This window comes from Homo sapiens, chromosome 10 (genome assembly GCF_000001405.40).
Source record: "Homo sapiens chromosome 10, GRCh38.p14 Primary Assembly".
In the NCBI taxonomy this organism is placed as follows: Eukaryota; Metazoa; Chordata; class Mammalia; order Primates; family Hominidae; genus Homo; species Homo sapiens.
This window is the reverse complement of record NC_000010.11, coordinates 20,863,861-20,884,236: the sequence shown is the minus strand read 5'-3', so window position 1 is coordinate 20,884,236 and position 20,376 is coordinate 20,863,861. Positions and strand designations below refer to the sequence as shown.

Sequence of the window (20,376 nt, the reverse complement as noted above, 5' to 3'; positions counted from 1 at the left end):
ATGCCAAAAAAATCTATAAGTGAAACATAAATGTACATTTTATCTGTATACATATGAAATATAAAATATGCTGTAAGATCAAAAATATAGAATAAATGTATTTATCACTTATATAAACAAAGTGTATATGACTATTGCAAGTGGACTCCTGTCTCCAGGTTCCTAGTAACATGGCAATCTCAGTTCTCAAAGTATGAAGAAAACAGCATTAATCTAGGGAAATACCATACAATAATGACAAATCCTAAGAAATCAAATTTATCGGCAAATTTATTAGCTTGACATAATTTTCCATTAGCTATTTTAAGGAAGAAAATGAATATGATAAATTAAAGTTCAGCTCCCTCTAATTTGATGTAATCTTAATTCTAAAGTGGTACTTAGTAGCGGCTGTAAATGAAATGACGATGTTAATGCTGCAAGTAGAAAATTACATAGCCTTTTTAAGAAAGAGTGCCTTTTAAAATTGTGCTTGCTGACTCATCATTTCTGTGATAACCCACAAAATGATCAGCTGCATTGGTTACATTTATAAAGTCACAAGTATATGTTAGTAGGTCTAAAGTACAAAATAAACCAGGCAACCATGAAAAAGGAAATAGGCATATACTAGTTCTTTTCATTTAAGAAGAAGGAGCAAATCTCATAGAAGTTTTTCCTTAGCTTTGTAGACTTGGGTACCCATGAAACTCCTCCTCTCCCTACCTCTGAGTTAAAACACGGAATGTAATAGAACTGAGATAATGGACTTTCTCCACCTGAATGGAGGTTCTTAAAGGGTTTCCTGCTTAACATAATTAATTGGTGAAAATTGTAAAGATACAGTCACCAGAGGGAGATATCTTGATGGAGTATGTTGGTGGACAGACTCTAACAAGATGAATTATCCTTGGAACAATGTGAGGTGCTGCTTCTGATTTGGTAACCAACCAAATCCACAGGATTGGAGGTAGGAACATGGCTGGGCAGGACTGAATAAGACTTAAAGGTATCAGTTGACAGAAGTCTCAGCATAGCCATCAAAAGAAAAATGTTGTGGTCCGTGGATGTGTTAATAATGTTTAACATGTGGGAGGTGATAACCTGGATTAAATCTAACAGTTCTAATTAAGAATGGTCCAACCATTGTGAGCACCTTAAGAAAGAGATTGATAAATTCGGATTTGGGCTGAAGAGAGCATGTAAGGTGTTCAGGAGTGCAGCACTTTAATCCATACTGCGAGTCTGGAGGAACAGAAGTCAGTGACGGGTGTCTTCCCACATTGGAAGTTCTGTCTCATGAAATAGGCTCTTTTCATAAGGCCACATAGACGCAGCTAGGGGGAGATAGATTGGGGTTTCAGTAAAGAAAGAAATTTTAATCTGAACTTTCAAAATTTAGAGGCTGTGGTGGCCAAGGTTGAGTTCTCTTTCAGTGGAAGTTTTTGAAAAACTAGATGGCAGTCCAGAGAGGGCATTAAACATTGTTAGTTATACCAGATGACATTTTTTTTTTTTTGGATGACAAGATTCAATGACTTTAGTTGTAAAAATCCGACTTATCACATTAATCCTTTAGATAGGTATATTATCCAAGTGGAATGGGTGGTTAATACTGTTTATAAAAGCCAATGAAGAGTTTAAGCTCACAAGAATGTTTAGTAAACTCATTTATTCATCTGTTCACTAAACATTTATTGCATTTCTACTCTGTCATTCACTATGTTAGGCACAGGATAAAAAGGTGTGAGACAGACATGCGCCCAAGGAGCTCATATTGGTAAAAACTTTCTCCTTAAATTTAATTTTATATATTATTTTCATTGAAAACTAGATCTTGTTTTGTTCTTGGTAAAGCCTGTTCTAGTTTTTCTTTTTCTTTTTCTTTTACTTTCCCTTTCCCTTCCCCTTTTCCTTTTCCTCTCTCCTCTCCCCTCTTCTTTCTTTTCTCCTTTCCTTGTCTCCTTTCTTTGCTTCTTTCCTTTCCTTCCTTTCCTCCTCTCTTTTCCTTTTCCTTCCTTCCTTCCTTTTTTCTTTCCTTCTTTACTTCCTTCTTTCTTTCCTTCTTTCTGTCTTTCCTTCTTTCTTTCTTTTGCAGGATCTTGCTCTATCACCCAGGATAGAATGCCGTGGCTCACTGCAGCCTCGACCTCCTGGGATCAGGCAATCCTCCTGCCTCAGCCTCCCATGTAGCTGGGACAACAGCCATGTGCTGCCACACCTGGTTAATTTTCGATATTTAGTAGAGATGGGAGCCTCACTTTGTCGTGAGCAAGTCTCTCTCCTTGACTTCCCTAATTACAGGCATGAGCCACTGAGTCCAGCCTACTTTGTCTTTCTTAAGTTGCCATTTTTCTCATGTCAAGTAATTCCAACTCCATTTAACATCCTTTTAGTATTAAGCTTTTAGTATATTTTAAAATTAATATTGCCTTTCTGTCCTTCATTTGTTATTGTTTTATTCTCATTCTTTTAGTTATTCATTCACTTATTTATTTATTCATTCACTGAACAAATGTTTTGTGCCAGGCACTATTCTGGGTTCTGAGGATTCAGTGAACACGACAGTTGTGTTTAGTAAGGGAAGATAGATAAGTAATTATACATAAACTAAACAAAGTAATTAAACATTATGAAGGAAATAAATAGGTTAATAGTATCAGTGGAGACCAAGGGGATAACTTGGTTGCTGTCTTTAGGTTCTTCTTTAATTTCCAACTTTGTGGTTGAGTTTGGTTACATCTACTTCTGAGATATCTTTCTCATATCCCCTCTCCATCCTAGTATGGAGGAAATTCAACATGGTGGTAATGGATGGCACTGGTCCATTTCCCTAATGGAGGCCAAGACTTGACATATCTGAGAATTTTGCCTGCATGCTATATTTTCTCCCAAAGGTTTGTGCACTTAATGAGGCTTATATTATCTTATAGCTGTGCCTACATAAAATCAGACCCAATCATTTGAAAACAATTTACTTTCAAATATCCTATAATTCCCCTCTACTTAGTTGTTTTTCCAAGATTTAAATCTCTGACATCTATATCCCAGAAAGCTCTTGGATATGGATGATTTCCCAAAACTACACCCGAGGTTTAAGCTAGATGAATAAAAATGGAAATTTCATCTTTGGTCAAGGACATTTTGAAGTAAACAACAAAGAGGTAGAATTAGGAATCTAAACAGAAGCATAAAGATGAATGCATTGTGGATATTGTCTTGTTACAGAGATTTAGGCAAATTAACTATCAGTGGTGGTATTCAAATATATAAAGTCCTGGCAAAACACTGAAATTAGCAGGCAAGAATTTATATGCCTCTAAATGGGACTAAAAATTATTTGTGTTTTTCAGGTGGCCTACAAGCAGAAACATGATGCTGCCAAAGGATTCTCAGATTATGCCCACATGAAGGAGCCCCCTGAGGTTAAACATGCCATGGAGGTCAATAAACACCAGAGTAATGTAAGGAAGCGCATTTCTCATGATTTTCTAGCGAACTGTAGTTAAGTCATATTAGGGCTTATGTTTATTTTGCTGAAATTTAAACATTACAACAGCCCTGTTCAAAAAAGACTTTAATATTTCTTATCAGTCAGAGGTACATCTGAATTATTCTATCCACAGTCATTAACACCTTGCCGAATGCCTTTATGTTGTCAGGCACTTTCAGGCATTGGAATTTTGCTTTGTACAAGACAAATGTAGATCCTTCAGACCTATTGGGTTATCAAGCATTTCCAGAGCTTCCTTGACTTGATGCTGAAGCTCATGGCTTCTAAGTCTAGAATCACAGAAGAACTGGAAGAAAGGCCATCAGGAATCAATGGCCCACAGAAGGATCATTCATGAACACCAGCTATATTGTACCCACTACTGTTTTCTTTTCTTTTCTTTTTGACACAGAGCCTCGCTCTGTCACCCAGGCTGGAGTGCAGTGGCTCAATCTTGGCTCACTGCAACCTCTGCCTGCCGGGTTCAAGTAGTTCTCTGCCTCAGCCTCCCGAGTAGCTGGGATTACAGGTGCCCACCACCACACCGGCCTAATTTTTGTATTTTTAGTAGAGACGGGTTTTCACCATCTAGGCCAGGCTGGTCTTGAGCTCCTGACTTTGTGATCCACCTGCCTCAACCTCCCAAAGTGCTGGGATTACAGGCACGAGCCACCGTGCCTGGCCTATTGTTTCTTTTAGGATGTTTGTAAGAACAGATGGTCCAACCTAAGACCCATGGGGAATATGACAGCAATAGATGCCTAATGGCTGACTTTAAAGCCAAAACGGAGGAAGTCAGTCAGTAGAAAATCAGTTTCTTTTTTGGTAAAAGTTAGCAGTTGCATCAAGGTTTGCATGCATTTGCTCGATTACCACCACCATCCTGGTGGCCTAGAAGAGTAATTTCTTCCTGGAATTGTAGGGAAAGCTTTTTTTTAAAATCTCCTCATCCTGACTTCTCTCCAGGAGGAATGTGTGAACTGTTGGTCAGGTTCTTTATGCATTAAAATCAGTTAAGATAAAATGCCTATCTTTTTTGGGTCAAGAAACTCCCTTTCTTGGAAAAGTACCTGAAGTACAGTTGCCATCTCACATCCAGTCTGTTCTGTCACTTAGTCCCTTTATGGAATGGTGCTTGGCTGACCATGTGCCCCCATAGTCCCACTGTGCAGAGTGTTTTCCGCAGAACGGCAACTGTTATTTGATATTAAATTGCAGTAAGCAAATGTTTAAGTAAAAAAGTGGAATGAGGTTTTACGTTTTAACCCAAATATACAAACATATGCCAAAAGCAGAGCACTTTTCTAACATAGTTTAAGATTGCTAGGAGATGAAGAGGCTACATGTCTGTAATTATTTTAGGGGGGTGCTTTATAAGAACTGTTTGCTTAAGGATGACTGTAATAATCATAATAACTACCACTTACTGAGCACAGCCATGCACCAGGAACTATGCCAGGACTTTGATCATTTCCGATTCTCATGAAAACCCTGTACTGATTCTTATTTTGTAGATGAGGAAAATGAGACTAAGAAATCAAACTCCTGAGTCTGCTCTTTCTGTTCCACTTTGCTGTCTCCACCTTAAAGGTTACTGTCAATTAGTCAAGGTTTTAAATGCAGTTTTTAAAAATGGGGAGCAAAATAGGTTATCTTCAGATTTCAAACGCACTGCAGGAAAGAATGACAGAGAAATCCCGAGTTTCCAGTATTTTGACACTGAAGAGACGAAATTCACACAAAAGGCCACGGGTTAGAAGGTGGTCTGGTGATCTGGGGTGAGGTCTGGTGTTACACGGATCCCCGGGAGGCTCTTTCCAACTCTATAATTCAATGAAATTCAAATACGGAAGTTCCTTATCATAGAACTGGGCTTATTATTTTAACTCTGCCTTTTCTTCTAAAAGGTCTTTGATTGAGGGATTGAGGGAATAGAGTATAAAGCCCTTTTCTCCTTCATTCAATACTGTGTACTTATGGGAGAAGGCTGTGTTTACTTATACTCCTCTGCCGACTTGACTCAACCTTTGCATGCAAAGTTTGTACATATAATAGGATTTAGAAAGTGTTTAAGACTATTTACTCAGATTTAAAGTGAGAATGATATTTGTATTCTACCTGTGAAGTAGTTGATATTCCTCTGGAGTCAAGCCACTTAGAATAATACATTTGTTGTCCCTACAATATGAAATTTAAACATAGGTCTTGAAAGTACATCTCTTGGTTCAGTGGGTGGATCTATGGAATCTCTATAAAAGACAATCTCCCATAAACCTGTCTCCTGTAAAAGTTCAGCCAAATGAAACTCATTGCAGAGAATTTACTAGTGGAATTACCCTTTCATAATGCAGACTGTCACTTTGCACTATGGCTATAAATGACTTCATTTAATTTAAAATAAAAGTGTGTCATTATATGTGTATCTGATTCACCTGAAAACAATGGAAGTCAACATCTTTGCCTAACTTTTTTATGTTTCCACCAAAATCAAGTCAGATTTCTAATATCTTTTAGTGAACCAAGATGTCTCTCTCTTGTGCCTTTAGTAATGTGAGTAAGCAGAAAAGAATGAGGGAGAGGGCTCATGTGACTGTATGGATGAATTTCCACCTCTGAGTAATGGAGTTCCCGGGCAAGAGTTTTCTGGAGGCAGTAGTCTTTTGCGCCACCCCAAAATTAAATGATCTCCAAACAGTAAAAATAAGTATTTCTTAGAATATCCTCTACTGTAGTGAAGTGGCATCATTGTCTGGGGTAGTACCTGAGGTTCATCGTCTCATGTCAAGAAAATTAAGGACACGGACACACACAAGGAATGAATTTAGGAGTGGAGGTTTACTAGGCAAAAGAAAGAGAAAGGAGAACAGCTCTCTTTGTTGTGAGAAAGAGGTGCACCCAAATGGGACTTGTGCCTCGTGGCAGAGTGCATCGGATTTTATAGACAGGCTTGAGGAGTCGGTTTCTGATTTACATAGGGCCCACAGATTGGTTGGACCAGGCGTGACTTTCTACATAGACTGCAAGGAAGCTGTTTGCTCCGCCCTAATTATATTATGCAAATGGGGTCTTTGCCTGGCGGTTTCCATGTTGTCTGCTCCCTACTGCACACATGGTTGGAAAGGAAAAGGGAAGATGGAGCTGCCATTTTGAACATGTCTACTCCCAGGCAGCCTTTTCCTATTGTCACAACTGTCAACATTCACACGTGCAAGCTTACAGCTCACTTGTGTATGTCTGCAGCTCGATTTTACAGGCTGCTCTTTGTTAGAAAAGAAAAAGACTTCGGGGCTGCTTTTTATTAAAAGGAAAGTCTTACGAAGGACTTCCTTACCCTCACTATCTGCCTAAATACTTTATTCTTAACTCCTATATCAGTAGCATATACTAGGAAAGGAATTTGGAGTCAGACATTGGTTAAAATGTTTCTTGGGCACACGTTGCGTGGATGACCCTGGATGAGTTACTTAATGTCTCTAAATCTCCATTTTCTCATCTGTAAAATGGGGACAACGATATCTACCTCTGAAGATTCTCACAAGTATTAAATGAAACATTATGTGTAAAGAGCTTCACAGCAGAGCCTCCATCTTAAAAGTTGCTGGCATACATTACTGGTTCTATTTCGTCCTCCTTCTACTTTTAAAGGGTGATTTGGGAGTTTAGGGTGATGTCATAGTTAATTTGAAACAAGTAAAGGAAGTTCAATTTATAAAAGGCCAAATCAATGTGAAATTTATGTTAAGAAATGTTTAGGTCGGAAGGGCATATCCAAAAGTTTCCTGAACCTATCTTATTAATACTATAATCAGAAAATGATTAAAAACAGCCAATCGAAATCTTTTTGTACCTTAAGGGACATACCCCTGCCAGTTTTTTCTAATGTAATTAGAGAAATTGGAGATATTCTATCCAGTGACTTTCCCCTAAAGATGGGCTTATAATGAAAGCCCTAGTTCCATTATTAGTTCTCATCAGTCTTATGAGAGACATGAAGTCCAATAGTTCTGAAATAAGTCAAACAAATTTTAAACTCTATTTTAAGTTTTGTAAGTAATGTGGTCTATACAGACTTGTGATGAAATTGGAGTGGTAAGCTTTTCCAAAACACCATATTGGTAGTCGATTCAATGTGTATTAGAAAGAAGTATTCAGCGTGGGAAATGAAAGACTTACTGTTCTTTTCAAGAATGATATATGTACTTTCTTAAAATTAATAAAAACTTATCAGTAAACAATTTCTATTCCATCAGAAAGTGAGAAAGCTTAAAGATAAATCAGTAAAATGATACTAGAAAAACAATTATGGCTCTCTGTGGTTCCCCGATGAGACTTACAATAATAGTGCTTTAGGATTTAGCATTAAAATTAGATATATTAGTGTTTTATTCATCTCTAAGACAGAATAGTTAGTAATACTTATTCTGCCTTCTACACAATATGGTGGTGATAAAATTAAATCATGAATAAGAAAATAAGACAACTTTTATCAACTATAGATTTATAAACAGTGACAGCAATCCTAAATGATAAGCCATTCTGGCCATAACTCTGTATTTTACTCCTTCTTTTGGAAGACTGAAAACTTTTTCTCTCTTCTGAATAGTATCAGAACCTACTTTTACTTATATTTAAAAGGCTTATATTCTCTTACAGAAAAATAATATTTACAATTTAATAATTTAGTAGGTTTTTATGCACAGCATGCCTAGACAAAGATAAGCATCATTTGAGATGGAATTAGCAGTCCACATGCCTATTTGATGATACCTGGAGGGCTTCTCTAATGTGAGAGTTTTGCTAAAGACAAAGGTTTTCCTGAGATGGGTTGAACCATTGCTTAAAGATTACCACTATATACCAGTTACATGATTTGCCTCTGTTCCACAAACTTAAAAGGTTATATATCCTGTCTAGTTTCTTCTCACCAAGAATCAGTTTAACCTTCACAGGGTTCTGGGTCAGCTGGATTTGTTTTCTTTAAGGTCTGTCTGCCCATGCAGACTTTAGACCCCATGGCTGGCTGGCTGGCTGGCTGGCTGGCTGGCTATCACTCCTGCAAGGCTGCCATTCCTGAGCTGTCTCAATCTTCTCATCTCCAAGTGAAAGTCATCTCCTTGACTTCCACTTCAAGGAGAGTCTGTGGAGGTTTTGCTTTTCTCTGGTTTATTAACTCACCTACCAGAGAGTCTCAAATCACTGTTGCCTGAGTATAAAAAGCTTGCTGGAAGGCCACTGTGAATCCTCCAGCTGCACATGTGTCTGCCTATACCTGCAGAATAAAGATGTCTATTTCACATCCACTTTCAAAATCTCATATGCATTTCTCTTATTGGCCATGTCTAACCCAGAACTATTTAAGGAAAGGTACTCTGGAGGATGTAGTTCCAGTCTTAAAAGGGAGTGTTGATGTAGCCCAGTTGAGTCAAGACACATCAGGGATGAAGTGAGGATTTAATGAATTGATGCAGAAAAGGATAGCCGGGCACCTTGGATGCTCTGCACGAGCATAGGGAACATGCAAAAGACATGGCTCTTATGAAACAGAAGTGGGAGGATTATAAGGAGAGAACAAGCTGAGATTAAAAGACAATAAAATAAGATAAAAATATGAGCTCAGGGTGAAAGTGAATATGGCGAGATAAAGAAATTCAGAGACAGATTTTGATGGAATTCAAATATTCGTTGGAAGCAACAAAGAACAGATTTGGCACTGTAGAAAAATGTGAGGCTGGGTGCAGTGACTCATGCCTGTAATCCTAGCACGTTGGGAGGCCAAGGTGAGAGGATCACTTGAGGTCAGGAGTTTGAGACCAACCTGGCCAACATGATAAACCTCATCTCTACTAAAAATACAAAAACTATCTGGGTGTGGTGGTGTTCACCTGTAATCCCAGCTACTCAGGAGGCTAAGACAGGAGTATTACTTGAACCCAGGAGGTGGAGGTTACAGTGAGCTGAGATCATGCCACTGCACTTCAGCCTGGGTGACATAGCAAGACTTCATCTTCAAAAAAGAAAAAAAATGAAAAGTGAAATGGAGGCTGTGTTAGAACTCTCTAGATTTCGTGACGGAAATCTATCTCAAGTTAGTGCAAGTGAAAAATGAGATTCTGTTGTGTATGTAATTGACAAATCCAAGCTATCTTCAGGCATAAGTGGGCTGGAGGCTTTACAGTGTTACCAGTACTCTTCCTCTCTTCCCATCTTTGGGCTCTGGGCTGTGTATGACACTTTCAGACAGGTGCTTTCTCTGTGGCTTCAAGGTGACAGCTGGTGTTTCCAAACTTTAATCATCCTTACAGCAGCTGATCTCAGAGAAAAGAAGAGAAGCTCTTTCTCCTCCAGCCTCAGATCATTCAAATGACTCTGGCCTTGGTTGGGTTACGTGTCTGTCCGATTTCATTAATCATGGTTTCCAAATGGATGGGGTATCTGGCAGGACAGCCTAAGTCAACATGAAGGCAGGCTGAACTTCAGAGGCCCACCAATCACATGGAGTGATGGGGGAGCTGTTTCCAAATTAAAAAACCTAGGCTGACAAAAAAATTTAACACATGCCCACTACAAAGGGATTAGATAGGAGAATGACTTAGATAAATGAGAAAGAATAAAGAGATAAATTCAGTGAAAAGAAGCTAAGAGGAAGAGATCAAGCACATAAGGTAATAATTCTAGGTGTTCCTATGGAAGAAACCAGAATCACTATTTTCAGATAAGACTCTATACTGTTATTCACTATTAAAAGGAAAAAGTGGATCATCTTGAGTACAAGATAAATGTATAAAAATGATAGTATGATAATTTCTTTGCCCAGTGACAGACATATAGAACAAAATGATGAAACTTCATTTAAAGTTATAATAAAATATTCGAAGAAATGGAGGAATATACCACCTTCTCATAGGAAAAGACTGACATTTTGTTATGATATCATTTTTCTTTAAGGCATTTTATAGATTCAGTGCAATGCTCATTAAAATTACAGTTATTTGTTTTGTGGAATTGACTAAAATTATTCTAATAAAAATAAGAAAATAAATGAAATAGATGAGTAGTAAGGAAATGAAAATTTAGCAGATGTTATGATTGTTTGAAAAATTTCATACCGTCATACCTTGAAAAAATGTATGAGTGAGGGAGTGAATGTTAAGTCCTTAATATGGTACATAATAGTCTAAAATTGAGACTATCATTATTATTATTTTCTTTTTCTCCCCTCCTCCTTCCTTCTTTCTTCTTCTTTAATCTTTCTTTCTTCTTCCTCCTCTTTTCCCCCTCCTCCTCCTGTTCTTCCTCCTCCTTGTTTGTTCTCTGCTATGATCTGAGGACAGAGTAGGGAACAAGACATTAAGGAAAATAATGTAAAAGCAATTATTGGCCCTCAAGTTCACATCTCTGCTGAGTTGATGATTTCTTCTTTTCCCTGTCCTTATGCAAAACAAGATTTATAGAGCACCACATTGTCATGAGAAGACTGAAGAGTGAAGGCCAGTCCACTGTTCCAATATGGTTAGCATTTAGGGTTTGAATTTATTAAGGAATAGAAAAAAATATGTATACACACACTTTGAACTCCAAGCCTCTCTTCTGCTGTGTTACATTTTTTATTCTTCCTGAGCTCTGATGGATGGTAGATTGGAGCAAATACTTATTGAGAAATGTCAGATGAGCTTCCCTTAAACCTAGTGTTACAGGAAACGGGTCCTGATTCAGACCCCAAAAGACGTTCTTGGATCTCACACAAGAAAGAATTCAGGGTGAGTCCATAAAGTGAAAGCAAGTTCACTAGAGAAGTAAAAGAATAAAAGAATGGCTACTCCGTAGACAGAGCAGCCCCGAAGGCTGCTGGTTGCCCACTTTTATGGTTATTTCTTGATGATATGCTAAACAAGGGGTGGATTATTCATGCCTCCCCTTTTTAGACCATGTAGGGTACCGGCCTGATGTTGCCATGGGCACTTGTAAACTGTCTTGATGCTGGTGGGAGTGTAGCACTGAGGATGACCAGAGGTCACTCTCGTCGCCATCTTGGTTTTGGTGGGTTTTAGCTGGCTTCTTTACTGCAAGCTGTTTTGTCAGCAAGGTCTTTATGACATGTATCTTTTGCCAACCTCCTATCTCATTCTGTGACTTAAAATGGCTTAACCATCTGGGAATGCAGCCCAGTAGGTTTCAGCCTCATTTTACCCATTCCCTTCTCAAGATGGAGTTGCTGTGGTTCAGATGCCTCTGACACTAGCAATGGGTTACGTGTAGGAATCTGTGTGAGAAGCCATGTTGCCATTCCATATATATTCAGACACCCTTGGAGATAGTGACATCAAGAGTGTCACCCTCTTGAATGTCCCCCAACATAAGCCCCCTTTCCTATGGAATATTCCCAAGGAGTGATATTCTGGAAGATCTGACAAGTGATCAGGCGCGGAAGCTTTTTTCTGTGTGGCTCCGTGGTGTCCTCTTGTTTGAATTTGCAGTTCATGTCAATCTTAATATTTGTTTTGAGTCACATATGCCGGCTTCTACTTTGCAATTTACATGGATGATGGGGCCCTATTCAAAGTCCTGCTCCTGCTGCCTTTGTGCCGTTCACCTCTCTTCACGCAGTCATTAGGCTGAACACCATATAATTAGGTAACCCATGTAAAGCTTAGATTTCTGAAAGGTTGTGGTTCTTTTCAAAAAGTAAGGGTTTCCATTTTTACCCTCATTCTTTTCTAAACAAAAAGACATTTCCCCCCTGCGGTTTTCATATGAATGTAGTAACTTAGAAACAGTTAGTCTTGTAGGTGGGTGATAATTTGGGTTTGTTTTCACCTGAGAGCCAGTTTTTGTTTACACAGCTTGTATTTAACTCAGGGTAGGATGAGATTGATTTACCATCATTTGTGGATAAGCATGTTGCTTTTTGAAGCCAATGGAATTGGCCTGCTTAAAAAAAAATCCCTAAAGATTTAAAATCCACCCAACAAAATAACTCAGTTTCGGCCTTATTTTTATGTTCCTTTTACTACCTGTGTGCATAAAACCTACCTGAAATGACTTGTTAACATAAAACCTCTGAAAATATAAATGTGGAAGAAAACAGATGTTCTTTCTGAAATTATACTAATTGTGTTTCAGCTGTGTTCACTTGTCAGACAGATTCATGATTATAAGTGTAGTTTAAAAAATAGTCTTGGTGGTGAAGCAAATGTAAGCTCATAAAAGAGTAAGTAGAAGTGTATATAAATGTTTCATTGAAATAAAATAACATAACGCACAGGGAGCCTGTTGATGTATTAATGCATTGTCACTTCTTACACTTGATCTTATTTTTAAAAGGAGTAAGAAAGGGTGAAATTTTTAATTCTGCTAGATTGAAAGGAAACTAACAAGATATATGAATATTACCCAGAACACTGGTTTATAGCAGTCAGCTAGGGAATTCATTAAAATTAGATTTTTGGGCACCATCTGTCAAAATTCTGTTACAGAGGATTGTGGCTGGACCTCAGGAATCTAAATCTTTAATAAGTACCCCTAAATGATGCTATTTCAGAAAGGTTGCAGGTGACATTAGAAATATTTGTACACAATGTAATTAAGTGTGCATTTTGTACAGATGTCCAGTGACACATTTCTGTGATCTTTCTGTGCTCTGAAAAAAGGAAGATGGGTTTTAAGAATGTCCATGACTGTACACTTTGCATTATGACTTTAATAGAATATATTTTAATTGCCAGCTGGTCCCTGGGGATATTGCCAAATAGAACCACATCTGGCAAATATTGCTTCAGCTCAAGACAAATCGCAAGAAATAAAGAAGTGAGCTGACCAGTGAAACATGGGCCATCGGACATTATGCCAGTTCAATTTTTGTCTCTCTTTCCAATTGTCAGTCAAGTTAATCTAAATGACGAATGTGATCTAAAGTACATTTGGCAAAGTTTATGTATTTTTCTCTTTAAATCTCTACTTACCATACTTTGGTTTGTGTCTAACATGCATTCAGAAGGAGAATGTTACTCAATGTAATTGTTTTTATTTTGGGAGGCTCAAGTCATTCCAATGATATTTATTGGGTGATAAAGCTCTCAGTACCTTAGATCTCCTAGGCATGGGCCTTTGAACATTTGAAGGGAGAGAAGTGTGTAGTTGAAAGGGCAAATGCTGGAGAACTACAGAGCTTCACCACCCACCATCCCCAAGGAAATAATTTGCAATATTCTTGTGCTTGGGCTTATCTTGCACCCACTGGGGCTTGAGACTTTGTGATGGGCAAGTTGAAGTTCTTGATGAGGATATTCTGCTTATGAATATAAATATATGCACTTAGATACAAAGACATACTCATAAAGTGGTAGATACAAAGACCCTTTAAGATTGGTTTTGTGCTTTGATCTTAGTCTTATTTCTTAGGTAGCATAAATTCAGTTCAAGTTTTTTTTTTTTTTTTTTTTGAGATAAAGTCCCACTCTTTTGCCCAGTTTGGAATGCAGTGGTGCTATCTTGGTGCACTGCAACCTCTGCCTCTCGGGTTTGAGCGATTTTCCTTCCTCAGCCTCCCGAGTAGCTGGGATTACAGGCGCACACACCATGCCCAGATAATTTTTGTATTTTTAGTAGAGATGGGGTTTCACCATGTTGGCCAGGCTGGTCTCGAACTCCTGACCTCAAGTGATCCGCCCACCTAGGCCTCCCAAAGTTCTGGGATTACAGACGTGAGCCACTGTGCCTGGCCCAAATATGTTAATATCAGTGAGACATAGGTATAGTATAAAGAGTTAATATAGCTATACAAATAGATGCACAAAAAGCCAACTTAAGGTCAGTAGGCTCTCTAAGCTATTATTATGAGAATAAATAATGTTATGAACACTAAGACTAGTAGCTATGTGAAATTACTAATTTATTTATTTTTTAACCAAAACTGTCTCTGATCAGATTTCTTATAGGAAAGACGTGCAGGACACCCACACGTACAGTGCAGAACTTGACCGACCAGACATCAAGATGGCAACCCAGATCTCTAAGATCATAAGCAATGTAACTTCTCTTTCTAAACCTTGAACGGAAATGATTTCTTACTTTTGTAGGAGGCAAAGCATAGCTTCAGTGGTTGGATGGTTCATTTAATTAGTGTAACTAATCAATATAAATGAATACATCTCAATTTCCCCCCCTAAATTATCTATTTTATTATGTTAATTATTTGGGTATATGCAGAAACAGCCCAAACTCAAATTGGCTGTGGTTAGTGTCATCATACTTTTAGAGAAATAAATACTATTTAGGTATAAATTGACATTCAGATGTCTCAGCCTGAAAGTCAGGGTTATCAGTCATATGGTCCCATATAATCTCTCCCCTCACCTTGCTCCAAAGGCTCTTGCTTGGCCTTGTTTCCATATTGCTGCTGTTCATTGTGTACATTCTCTTCCACCAACACTTACCTTTGTCCACTTCCTACATGGCGTAACTGTTTCTTACCTTCTCTAAGGTGCCCGCTTTAGTTAATACCATTTTACTTCAACATGCTGAAAACCCTGGTTGGAAATGATGATTTAACTTGAACCAAAAATTTTCATAACATAGGCTAAATTCACCCTAAAATCAATCATTACTGTATTCAACTGCATGTCAATCAAGTATGGCCAGAACAGTTCCTGAGAATAAACGAAACTATAAAAGCTACCTATATGGAGAGTACAGGGTCTCAATTCCCCAGAAAATTTCCCTAATATTTTGTTTTAGTATTTATATATAATTACAAACATGATGATGACTGAACACTTAGCCTCAAAGTTAGTAATTATTTTACTGCAAAAAGTTGAGTTTGTTCATGTAAGCACAGGATAAAATCAATTTCTGCTTTAGCAGTCAACATTTTAGTGTTTGATGTGTTGTAAGGAATATTAATGAGATGAAGGTCTGTTATTTTTTTTTTTTTTGGCTAATGTCAATGTAGTTCATCATTGGAGGGTAGAAATATTTAACATTGTCTTATTTATTCATTTTAGGCAGAATACAAGAAAGGACAAGGAATAATGAATAAAGAGCCCGCTGTAATTGGAAGACCAGATTTTGAACATGCCGTGGAAGCTTCTAAACTTTCTAGTCAAGTAAGGCTTTAGTGATGATTCCACAATGACTTTATTCAGATATTTTGTTTCTAACAGCACAGGAGAATATTGCATTTTAGATAATATCTTTAATTGCAAGAATAAACAGAGATAATGTTTCTGAACCCAGTTCAGATGGGCTTGCAATCATTATGAATTTCAGTAAAGGAAAAAAATTAAGTCTAATTTTAAGCATAAAACAAAGTTTTCTTTTCTCCAGGCATAAATCTGAACATTTTTCAATGTCTCTAGCCATGTTGTCACATTTCCCTGGATTTCCAGAAGTCATTAATAGTCATACTAAATAATTGTGTTTTAACCTACACACACACACACACACACACACACACACAGTTTTTAACTTAGTAATAAAAATATTAATTTTCCCAATTTTCAAGTGCTTTTGTTTAATCACAAAATTTAAAAAGGGAGATGAAAATGAAGAAAACTTTGAAGTCTTATCAAAGAGCATAAAATAAGATCTGAAAAAGTATAAAGGCATTTTATGTTTTTGGCTGAAAGTTTCAATAGATAAAGATGTCAGTTCTTTCAGAATTATATAAACGTCATGCAACTTCTGTTAGACTCCAACAGCGTTTTTTTTTTTTTTTAATATAGATAAAATGATCTTAAAGTTTGTGTGGAAAGAAAATACCAGGGAATAGCCTTTAAAAGTATGAAAATGAAGACCAGTGAAGGGGAACTTAAGTTATGAGTTACTATAAGTTAATAGAAAACCACTGAAATTAAATCAATATGGGATTGGTGTAGTGAGAGATTAAATAATCAGTAGGATAGAATAGGGAGTCCTGAAATAGATTCCAGTATGTATAAGAATTTAATATATGATAAAAGTGTCGATTCAAGTCAGTGGGAAGAAGTTGGATTAGCTAATAAATGGTGCTGACATAACACACCGTCTGTCATGGGAAGAGCAAAATTGGACCCAAATCTTAAACCATATACAAAAATGAATTCCAGGTGGATTAAAAATGTGAATGCAAACAATAAAATAATTTTAAAATCTTCAAAGAAAATCCAGGAGACTCTATATACTACATAAGGATAACAGAGTTGTTCTTAAGCAAGACCAGAAATCCAGAAGCTATAATAGGTAGGCACATTAACTATGTAAAAATGAAAAACTCTCTGAATGAAAAAGGTAATGTTTGCAGAGTCAACAATAATGTTAACAAACAGTAAGTTTTACACATTTATAGTTTTTTTGACTTTGAAAATACTCATTTCTCAAGTTGCAGAAGTCTTACTTGAATTACATTTCAAAGTGGAGAGATGTAAATGATGAAAGGTATGAAGTCTGATTGAAGAGCATAAAATAAGTCCCGAACAAATGAAAAGACGTACTATTCTGTTGGTGAAAGAGCCTTGATACTAAACATCCTAAAAAATGTTAACTCTTTCAAAGTTAATGTTAAAAGCTCTATGCAATTCCAATTGCAATCCAAAAAGAGGGTTTAAAAAATTTAAATGAAATGAAAAACTTGAATAAATTAAATAATTCAGAGTTTATACAGAGAAGGATGTGTCTGAGAATAGTTTTTTAAAATATAAAAAAAGAGAAGTCTTCAAATACTTGGAAAAGTACTTCTAATGCATTTGATGAGAACATTTTAATATTTTAAATATAAGATCTATAGTGTACAATATCTATAATATATAAACATTCTTGAAAAGGAATTTATTTTTGTATATAGTTTAAGATTTGGGTCCAATGTTGTTCTTACCATGAATGAAAAAGATTAACGGCTCAGTAGAAAAAGGGGTCAGTGAAATAGATAATTCACAGAAGAGCAAACATAAATGGCCAATCAACAGGTGAAAAGATGCCCAAATTTATTAGTAGAAAGGGAAATACCAACAAAGTGAAAGCAAAATGTCTTTTACACCCATTTACACCCATCACAATGTGTCTTGTTAGTGTGGAGAAGAAAGACGCGTCCTTAGAAGGTTCATGTGTAGGAGGTAGATTTTAGCTAATTTGGATTTAATGGGAGAAGTAAACTCTACTCAAGGGGAAGGCCCCAAATACAGGCTGGGAGTATGCCTGCCAGGGGACAGAAATCTGATGGCAGAGCCTCTGGGCAAGAGGATATAGTTGTGCACGTATAAAAAGGATTTTGAGAAGAGTTTAGATATTGTGTGATGATGAATGGGTCAATGTGTATTGATTTTGAGTATAAGCCATTGCTTAGAGAACATAATAGGAATAATGTGTTCATATATGTAATTTTTCCCCATTTTTTTATCGTGATAAGATTTATATAACATAAAATTTACCATCTGAACCGTTTTTAAGTGTGCGGTTCAGTGGCATTAAATGCGTTTGTAATGTTGTGCTACCCTCACCACCATCCATCTCCAGGACTCTTTTCATCCTGTAAAAGTGAAACTCTATACCCGTTAAATAATAACTCCCCAACGCCCCCTTCCCAGAATGGTGTGTTCTATGAAAAAATAATGATAAAAAAGTGATTTCAGAGCGCAATTATAGGAAGCATTTTAGGGTTCAATTCCAAAAAGTAAACATCAGAACTACTTTTTGCCATGTTAACTGTAGTCTCTCAGGGAAGAAAGAAGACATCACTGAAGATTTTGAGCAAAGATTGATTGTGAAGAAAACACTTAGGGAAGGTTAACATGGTGACACTGGGCAGGAAAGTCTGGCTCACAAATGGTGAACCTCCCAGAAGCCAGCTGGGCTGTGACAGTGGTAATCTACACATAAAGTGATCAGTACCTGAATAGACTCTGTGACAGTAGGAATGAAAATGAAGTGGACACAACTGCTCCCTGGGAGAGGCAGACATGAGAGATGCCCAAATGCAATTGTGCCTCATAGTAATTGTTTTACAGTTAACAAGGGACTTTCACTTATAAAGCGACTTTATAACTCAGGAGGCTACTGATGTGCAAGAGGTTGGGGACATGTCTGGGTGACACTTGCATTAAAGGGCGGTGACTCTAAGCTCTACATATTCCCAGTAATGCTAGTTGAAGAGACAGGGGATATGGGCATCACTTCAGATTTCCAGCATAGCTACTGGCCTCTTACAACTTCGCCCTTTTCTGGGGACAAAGATTCCCCATCAGTTACACAGGAGACAAAGCAAATCCCGGAGAAGCAGTATGGTTTGGTCTAGTGGTTAAGAAAATGTACCCTGGAGCTGGGCTGTACCTGGGTTAAACTCCTGGTTCTGTTGCTTGCCAGCAGAGTGATCTTGGACAAATTGCTTCATTTCTCTATTTTTGTTTCCTCATTTGTAAAATAGGGATGACAGCAACAGTATTTACTTCTCAGGGCTGCTGTGAAGGTTAAATGAGTTACTGTGAGTAAAACACTTAAAATGGTGCCTGGCCCATAGAAACATGACATAATTTCATAGGAATAATTTTACTTTAGGTATTCAAAATAGTTTTCTGTTCTACATTTTTAGATGAATTCATGCACAGAGTGGAGAAGGAATATGAACACTGTCTGTGAGATTCTGGCCTTAAATTCATTCCATCACAATCCTATTTGAGAGCCCTTAGAAGAAAGTTTTGACATTTGAGCTTTATTTTCACATTTCAAATTCAATCCACAAAAATTCCCCCATGTGATCCTTACTTGGACTTGAAAGCAGATTTTTTTCCTTCAATCTCAAATTATTTAGCAACTGAGTGATCAGATTCTTAAGCAGATTTTAATTTTTAACTTACATTATAGCTATCGTATTCATTTTTTCATGTCATATAAGATTTTATAAGCTGTATAAAACTCACAAGAAAAGGGGAAAGCTGGGAAAATAAATAATAGGAATTCTGGGATGAACTCAGTGTATTCCATTTGTATTTTCAGGTATATCAATTATAACAGAAATTTGGGCAGCAAGTTTAGTTTCTTATTTTCACTGACAGCATTAAAGTTTTTAGTTTGCTCCTAAACTAATGATAAAGGCACATAAATACATAGAAGGCAAATGATTTAGGGATTTAATAACAGGGAGATGAGAATGGATAGAATGCAGGGAGAAAAAGAGCACCACAGCACCAGAAGCATTGTAACAGAGAAGGCAATGACAAGGCAATGGTCAAAGTATGTGGAGATAAGACCTGTCTGATGAAAGGATGGGAACAGAGAGTGAATGGGCAGGATTCTCACCTTTTATCTGTAAATTGAACTCTGTGGGATTTTACCCAGGAAAGGTAGTGGGAACACATACCAAACCCTTCTTATATTAACTTCTACAATAGCTTTGCTCCCGTAGTTGTAAACTTTCCCTTTTTAAAATTTGCAATATACATACAATTATGGCCAGGTTATTTTAAAAAGTCATTAAAAAACTAAAACAAAAATCTCCTATGCGAAGATGAAGGGATTGGTGCATATGTATCTCAGATTTAAGTACAGTAACTGTTGAAGTCATTGACTTTAAAAATTCTAAGAGTAGTTTATTAATTAATATATCCATAGATCATCTTGTTACTTGGAATTTGTCTATATGATGAATAGATTCCTTGTTCAGTTTTATAACCTCAAGGAAAAGCTATGTATTTATAATAATTAGCATTGTTTTAAAATTGCATTAATACATTGATAAGAATGGGTTTTAAACCTAAAAATCACATTATAAATTGCCATGAAAATTTAGTAGTAAGCAGTGGCCTTAAATTGCAAGGGGTATTAATTGGTTTGGGGAATTTACCATTCTCCCATCCTGGCAAGCACTCCCTCCTCCAACCTCATCACACCCAAGTATCAGCTCAAATATCATGTTCCTGACTCGCCAATTTAAATATTGC

General features: G+C 37.0%; 1 protein-coding gene and 1 long non-coding RNA gene across 20 annotated transcripts in view; one reads left to right on the top strand and one right to left on the bottom strand.

Annotated features, from left to right (window-relative positions):
* NEBL (nebulette) overlaps positions 1-20,376 on the top strand; it is a 513,078-nt gene that overhangs the window by 408,814 nt on the left and 83,888 nt on the right. For 6 of the 17 annotated variants that reach the window (XR_001746995.3, XR_242691.6, XM_047424443.1 and 3 more), the window contains 3 exons: positions 3,333-3,443; positions 14,396-14,497; positions 15,472-15,573. The exons of 10 other annotated variants lie outside the window; for them this stretch is intronic. Coding sequence is in view for 5 of the 7 variants with exons in the window: in XM_047424443.1 (XP_047280399.1) it covers positions 3,333-3,443; positions 14,396-14,497; positions 15,472-15,573 (315 nt within the window). In the remaining 2 variants the exon portion in view is untranslated. The remainder of the gene's footprint in view (positions 1-3,332; positions 3,444-14,395; positions 14,498-15,471; positions 15,574-20,376) is intronic. One more of the 17 variants, XM_005252342.6, reaches the window with a different exon arrangement.
* The window catches only part of LOC102725112 (uncharacterized), a 39,354-nt gene that overhangs the window by 706 nt on the left and 18,272 nt on the right, over positions 1-20,376 (bottom strand). The window contains exons 3-5 of one of the 3 annotated variants that reach the window (XR_007062082.1): positions 18,770-18,897; positions 10,587-10,793; positions 4,543-4,666 (exon numbers count right to left, since the gene is read on the bottom strand). This is a non-coding gene — a long non-coding RNA (uncharacterized LOC102725112). Of the gene's footprint in view, positions 1-4,542; positions 4,667-10,586; positions 10,794-18,769; positions 18,898-20,376 lie in introns of those variants that run through there. The other 2 variants (XR_007062083.1, XR_930737.4) reach the window with 2 other exon arrangements.